We start from the raw sequence: 7,545 nt of genomic DNA, 5'->3' as shown, positions 1-7,545 counted from the left end.
AGAAGAATGCAGCAGTGAACATCCTTCCTCACTGGCTATTAACGGGTTGGGGGTCAGAGGAGGGGGAATGTGGGGTAGGTTTGCATCAAAGGAGCTGCCTGAAAGGGCAAGCTGGGATAGTCAGGGAACATCCCCTCCCCTGTTACCAAATGTTTATTAAATATGTGTTCTGGGTAGAGCACTATGCTCGGGGTTCTTGGGTTACAGAAAAGTGGGAGATACAACACATTTTTGAGAAGTGAGTCACAGTCCACTTGGAGATGTGCTACAAGCAACTGCAAGCAAATTAATGAGATACGAAGAGAAGACTCTGATTTTAAATTGGTATTCCTCAGTAACATTTAATGTAGAAAGACAGTCCTGTGGAGAGGCTGCGTGGTTGCAGTAGCTTCTCTGGACCCTGCCCTGGGTGCCAGGAACACTTTGCCCTTACTGAGAGTTCTAGAGACCGTCAAGAATGCTCCCACACCTTTCTAGACACCTTCCAAAATTGCCCAGGTTGAGAACCATTGATTTTAAAAAGGAAATTATTCAACAGCTTGCTTAATGGCTTTCTAAGTTCTTTTTGTTAATTTATGGTTTTTAGAGTGCCAGAGTCATATTCCAGGGTCACATCTTACCATCCCCAACATTTTTATAAAAATTCTCAAACAACACAAAGATGATTAAAATGAACACCTGTATACCCACCACCTAGATTCTATCATAAACATGTTACTGTATCTATATATCACCTGTCTATCCATCTGTCCATCAAACTATCCATTATGTCTCTTCAGAGTAAATGGCAGACATCACTACAATTCCCCCAGTACGTGTCATTGACTAGACTAGAGAGTAGTGTTTGTTTACACTTTTGTGCCCCTGCCAGGATAAAGAACATCACCATACCAGAAAATTCCAATATGGCCTTCCCCAGTCAACCCCACCCCGCCCTTGGAGGTGGTAATTGTAATTCTTTTCCACCATAGGCTAGTGTTGCCTGTTCTGACATTTAATTTAAATGGAGTCCCACACTATGTCCTTTCGCACAGTCAGTATTGTGCCTTCACTCAGGCATATGGGAAGCTGTTCTCACTGAACTTGGCATTTCAGGGAAATCCTCTGGATTGGGGATGGGAGTCCTCAGAGATGTCCACATCCTAATCCCCAGGACCTGTGAATGTGTCACCTTACATGGCAAAAGGGACTCTGCAGATGTGGTTAGGTAAGGACCCTGAGATAGGAGGATTATCTGTATTTACCTGGGCGGATGCAGTGTAAGCACATGGATCCATATAAGCATCAGTGAAGGCGACGTGAGGGTGGACAGACTTTTGAGGATGCTAAGCTATTGGCTTTGAAGATGGAGGAAGGAGAGCAACAAGCCAAGGAATGCTGGCAGCCTCTAGACGCTGGAAAGGGCAAGGAAACGGATTTTCCCCTAGGACTCCTGAAAGGAACACAGCCCCACCCATACCTTAATTTTAGCCCTGTGATGCCCACTTTGGACTTCTGACCTCCAGAACTGCAGAATTTATTACTAAGGTGATAAGTTAGTGTTGCTTTAAACCATTTGTTAACAGCAACAATAGGAAACTAATACAGGGCCAACTTTTTTTTTTTTTCCCGAGATGGAGTCTCACTCTGTATCCCAGGCTGGAGTGCGGTAGCGTGATCTCGGCTTACTGCAACCTCCGCCTCCCAGGTTCAAGTGATTCTCCTGCCTCAGCCTCCCTGGTAGCTGGGACTACAGGCACGTGCCACCACGCCTGGCTAATTTTTTGTATTTTAAGTAGAGATGAGGTTTCACCGTGTTAGCAGGATGGTCTCGATCTCCTGACCTCGTGATCCGCCTGCCTTGGCCTCCCAAAGTGCTGGGATTACAGGCGTGAGCCACCATGCCCGCCAATATTATTTTTAATGTATAACAGAATAATGTCAGGGTTTTGTTTTTTTTTTTTAATCCAGGATCCTACCACCCTAACAAACAAATCCAACTTCAATTTTTTTTCTCCTTCCTATTTCTTGCCCTAAGCACTTACAACGTTTAGCTTTAATCACAACGTAGTACAAATTTTGCATTTCTGCTTTTTTCCCCACTTGCCATTTTTATCAGGAGTATTTGTCCCTGTTGCCATATGGTTTTTATAACTGTTTTAAGAGGGCTGCTAAGTAAATTATACCACATGAACATTAAATTTACTTAACTACCTTGTTAAAGGATAATTTTTTTAGAAGTTAAAATTATGACTCATACAAATATAAAAGTAACATGTTAAAGATGATTGTATTTAACTTGTTAATTATTGAGAGAACCAGTAGGACACTTTAATTGGCTCAAAGGAGAATCCAAAGAACAAATAATTATAAGCCTAGCAGGAATGCTGAAATGAGTTTGCTTCGTAGTTACAAAACTGGCAAAATTGGCTGATACCTGCAGAACAATAATCAGTTATATTCCATTGGTCACAATTTGCATTTCTATGAACAAGAATCATCTGCATTATCAGTTTCCCTTAATTTACGTAATTGTAAAGTAGCTCAAAGGCAGTGAAATGAAAGGGAATCAACTCAGAAAGGTGGGCTAGATTAGACAGAACACTCAGTAATTGGAGGCAGGGGTGGGGGCAGTGGGCAAGACCTATTTCAAAGTCCTTCACAGTGTTTCCTGATAGCCTGTATTTGGATAGCTGGGTTATGTCCAGTTATTTGCTTTTATTAAATGTCAATACATCTTTGAACATTTTTTTCTTTCCTAAATACCTAGGTTCTATAAGATATAATACTGTTAATAGTAGGGGATCCCTAGGGTCAAAGGAGATTTTGACTTTTGATTAGTGTTGCCAAGTTGACCAGAGTTGTATAAGCCTTTTCCCATGCCAAAAACAAAAACACCATCCATGTCCAATGGCTATCACTTCCATAGTGTCCTAAAAAAAATCTTTAAAAACCTTCCTTTCTCCAGTGGTCCTCTGCTATGTCGTGAATGTGTCTCCCAAAGTTCCATGTGTTGGAAACTTGATCCCCAGTGCAGTGGGTGTGGGGAGGTAGGACCTAATGGGAAATGGTTGGGTCATGGGGGCTCTGCTCTCATGAGTGGATTAATGCTGTTATTATGGGAGTGGGTTCCTCATAAAAAAATGAGTTCAGCCACCTATTGGCCTCCAGCCCTCTCTCTCTTTCTGCCCTTCCACCCTCCACCATGGGGTGGACAGCAAGAAGCTCCTCACCAGATGCCAACACCTTGATTTTGGGACTCCCCAGCCTCCAGAACTCCATGAGATAAATTTCTCTTCATTATAATTTACCCCATGTATTGGTATTTTTATTATAGCAGCAAAAAGTAGACTAAGACACCTTTCCACCTTCTCATTTCTTCTCATATTCATTGGCCAGAATTAAATCTGTGGAGAATTTGACCTGGATCAATCAAGACCCATCACCCCAGGGCTGGAGAAGGGCTCAGACTCCCCTAAAGCTCTGAGCCCTAGAGCCCCTGAACAGATTCCGTTAATAAACAAGAAGCAGGGGGACCAGTGGACCCAGCTAGAAGCGGTTTATGTGGCTACTTACTGTATTTTCTTTTTTTAAATTTCCTTTTTTGTTTTACTTTTGAAATGCATGATGGTTATACTACAGTCCTAGGATTCAGGAAAACTTCTAATTCCACATCTAACCTTTGCTAAGGGTTAGATGCCAAACTACCTTTTGTTTGAGTTTTTCCATCCATTAAATGAACTTGGGATGAGAGTGGGAATGTGGGTGGTCAGAGTGACCAGATGAACTTTAAGATACCTTGCATCTCTAAAATTTTAATTATTTGAAAGTTAATGATCCATGTGAAAAACTTAACTTAGCTGTGGCAACCACATAACACCACCACCACCACCCCACCCTACCCTCTGTTTGAAATGCTTGTTCTTCAGTGCCGCAAAGAAATAGCACTTGAACATTAATTTCTTCAGCAAGGTCATTTTTATACTTTCTGCAGAAAGGGTACACTCGCCAGCAGTTTTGCCACGAGAGAACACCGAACAAAGGAGACAGGGTCATTTATAACTTGACAAGTCCACTTTACTGCTGTGTCCAGTTTCCATTGGCTGGAACGGGACCTCACATTCTGTATTTGTCCTGATTGGCTAGCAACTTAGAACTTTTTAAAAGAGGCAAAGGCAGAGGAGAATGAAGGAGGAAGTAACTTGTGGAATGCTGAGAAACGTAAAAACACCTTCAGATAAGGAAGAGGAACAGGCTATGACCTAATGCTTGCTTGGACCAGTATAAGCATTGCCAGGGCAAATAGGCTAAATTGTGGGAGCTAAGAACATAAAGTACATTGATTTCTTTATTACGGCTAGCAGATATTTAAGAATGTTAGCACAGGTCTTTGAATAAGTTTTGCTCCTAAGAGAAGTTACTATTTATTCTTAATTAGACAGGGAGGAAAGTCTTTGAAGAGGAACCTCACTTTACTTTTTACACCCCTAAGAACCATGATGATAGACTGCAAAAAAGCATCCCATCAACCATCACTTTTTCCAGGAAATGGCTGGCCACAGAAAACTCTCCGCCCCTTTCCTCTTTTGAAATGGTCCCAGACTGCTCACCTGCCTCCTTGAAGCTAATCAAGTCAAATGTACTTGAAGACCACTTTGTCTCTTGGCTTGCTTCCACAAATCCTACCCTTATATGACATTTGCCAAGTCAACACTGTCAGTATTTCTCCTTTTTACTCTATAACGTCTTAACACCTCTGAACACTTACCAAAACAAAGGTTTCAGCAGAAGGGTTCCCCTGCTGCACGTTTATGAATAAATAGCCTTTGTCGATTTTATCTTGGACTTAGTTTTGTCTCTGACACATGTGGAATGGATGTCTGTTAGAATTCTGCCCTTGCCACACCTCTTGCTTCCTGGATAAATGTGGGTTCACTTGGGTTGATGACCTTGGGCTACACTGGCTTCTTCAGAACCCCTGAGAAGCGTGTAGGGATTCTCATTCAGACCTCTAGAATTGAGTGAATCAGTGAAGGGCAGCTGACACCAAAAATGCATTAAAATGTCAAGGCCGGCAGCCCTCTAGCTTCTGGCTGGAGTGTGTGATGATTTCGTCTGAATTCCCTGAGTTCAAGGCATGCAGTGGGCACATCGACTATGGGCCCATCAGAGGCTGAGTTTGCAGCAGCAGCTGTCCTGTACAGCATGCAGCAAAACGGCTGTCAGCTCTTATTAGGAAGGTAGAAACATGCCAGTGGGTATGTATGCAGGACTAGTGTATCCTTGGATGTGCCTGTTACTGACCACTGTGGTTCTGTTTAACATTAATTTGTATATTTCTCAAAGCATCACATGCCCAAGATTTAGGCAAGTAAATTCAGTTAACCACAGAGTATACTTTTATGCCTTTCCTGTGATAACACCATTCTAGATGCTAAGAGTGAATGTAGGATAGGACAGAAAAGTGCTGCTGGCAAGGACCTTACATTCATGCCAGTGAAGGAGACCCAAAACAGATGGGCAAATAATGCCAGCCGTCTGGAAGCAATGGAGTGAAGTGGCCAAGTGAAGTCCTGGAGGAAAATTGTTCTAGGCTAAGTCCCTGAAGGGTGGTGAGTTTGGGGTGCTGGGGAAACAGCAGTATGACCTTTAGAGACAGAGCAAAGGTGTGAGGGACAGAGTTAGGCAGGGGCCAGGTGAGGCAGGCTATTACAATGTAAGTCTAGTGAGCAGTGGATTCCAGCAGGAGAATTATGTCTATTTGTTTTGGGGAGAGTGTTTTGAGACAAGGTCTGATCTGTCACCCAGGTTGGAGTGCAGTGGTGTAATCACAGCTCACGGCAACCTCAACCTCCCAGGCTCAAGCGATCCTCCCACCTTAGCCTCCCGAGTAGCACATGCCACTGTGTCGAGCCGTTTGTTTTTTTAAAATCCTCTGGAAACTGGGAAATTGACTGAAAGGTAGTATTCCTCCAAGCCCTTGAATCTAGGCTGGCCTTGTGACTACTTTGATCATTACAAGGCAGTGGGAAAGGATGTTCTGGGACTTCAAGCCCAGGCCTCAATAGGACTGCCAGCTTCTACTTCCTTCTCAGAACACTAGCTCTGAGCCCAAGCTACATGGAGAGGCCATCGTCCTAGCTGAGAACCTAGCCAGCTGCCACCATGTGAATGAACCACGGTGAACACTCAGCCCATTCAAGCCCACAAATGCCCACAGCTCCAGCCACATCACATGAATAGAGGAACCACCCCACTCAGCCCAGGAAAACCAGAGTTGTGAGACTGAATCACTTGGTTTTGAAGTTTATTTCACAGCAATAGATAAGTGAAACAAGGGCAAGAGTGGTGGATGGATGCAGGACACAAGCCAGCTTTGGGGTTCATTTAGGCCAGAAAGGATGGAGGCCTGGAGCAGACTGGCGGAAGTGAAGATAGTGAATCGTCAGATTCAGGACGCACTTGATGGGTGCAGCTTTCAAGCTGGATGAGAAGGGAAAGAAGTAGAATAGAAAAGCAGCAAGTCTCTGCCTGGCTTTCTCCAGACGACTCCTTAGAGCTTTAGACCCCCCGCTCTCTTTGATAACTACCACCATCCTGCACGAACCAGTTGCTTATACTGGCTTATATTGTGATCGTGTTTTGTTTTTTGTTTTTTGTTTTTTTTTTTGCTCTTTAAGTAAAAAATAAGGTTAAATCTTTGAGAAGTCCTTCTTAAGCAACAAAACCTCAGAGACACAAAGGAAATTATTAATAGATGTAACCACTTAAAAATAAAAAATGAAACTTCTCTATCATAAAAACATGCCATAAACAAAGCTAAAAGATGATGAGCTATAATGGAGAGAAAATATTTGCAAAATATAACAAAAAATCTCATACACTAACTATATAAGCAATTCTAAAGAAAAAGGTAGCCAAATAGAGACTAGCATTAAGCTGCTCTAGGAATTTCACATTATATTACCATATCTTGACGTATGAGTTTTAGACGTGTCATGTGGCCCCTCGGCCTCCAGTAGATATGCCCAGGCTTCTCACAGCATGGTGGTCTCAAGGTTCCAAGAAGGTGAGGAGAAACTTCAAGGCCTCTTAAAGCTTCAGCTGCAGAACTCACATAATGTCACTTCTTCCATGTATTGGTCAAAACAAGTCACCAGGCCAGCCCAGGCCCAAGGGTAAAGAAATAGACTCCCTCTCTCACTAGGAGAAACAGCAAATTTCTCATTGCAAAGTGGTGCGGATACAGGGAGGTGTGGTTCACTGGGACCATTATTATAGCACTCCCACGCAATGGCTAAAAATGCCTTTCTTCTACCCTCATGATTGATAGCTTAGCTGGGAATATTATTTTGTATTGATAATTATTTTCTCTGAGGATGAAAGCATTGCTGCACTCTCTTGGAGCTTCCAGTGTTGTTGAGAAGGGTAATGTCATTTTGATTCCTGTTCCTTTATGTGTGATCTCATATTCCTTTCTGAAATCTTTCAGGATCTGATTTATCTATGGTATGATGAAATGTCGTAACACGGCCTTGTGTGAGTCTTCTTTTTTTCTTTTCTCCC

At 42.8% G+C, this 7,545-nt stretch overlaps 2 long non-coding RNA genes across 4 annotated transcripts in view; one reads left to right on the top strand and one right to left on the bottom strand.

The window, feature by feature from the left end:
- Window positions 1–7,545, top strand: part of FKBP1A-SDCBP2 (FKBP1A-SDCBP2 readthrough (NMD candidate)) — an 83,264-nt gene that overhangs the window by 24,314 nt on the left and 51,405 nt on the right. The gene's annotated exons all lie outside the window — the stretch shown is intronic.
- The window catches only part of SDCBP2-AS1 (SDCBP2 antisense RNA 1), a 53,393-nt gene that overhangs the window by 9,877 nt on the left and 35,971 nt on the right, over window positions 1–7,545 (bottom strand). The gene's annotated exons all lie outside the window — the stretch shown is intronic.

Source organism: Homo sapiens, chromosome 20 (assembly GCF_000001405.40).
Source record: "Homo sapiens chromosome 20, GRCh38.p14 Primary Assembly".
NCBI classification, from domain to species: Eukaryota; Metazoa; Chordata; class Mammalia; order Primates; family Hominidae; genus Homo; species Homo sapiens.
The sequence above is the reverse complement of the archived record's forward strand: the minus strand, read 5'-3'. Positions and strand labels throughout refer to the sequence as shown.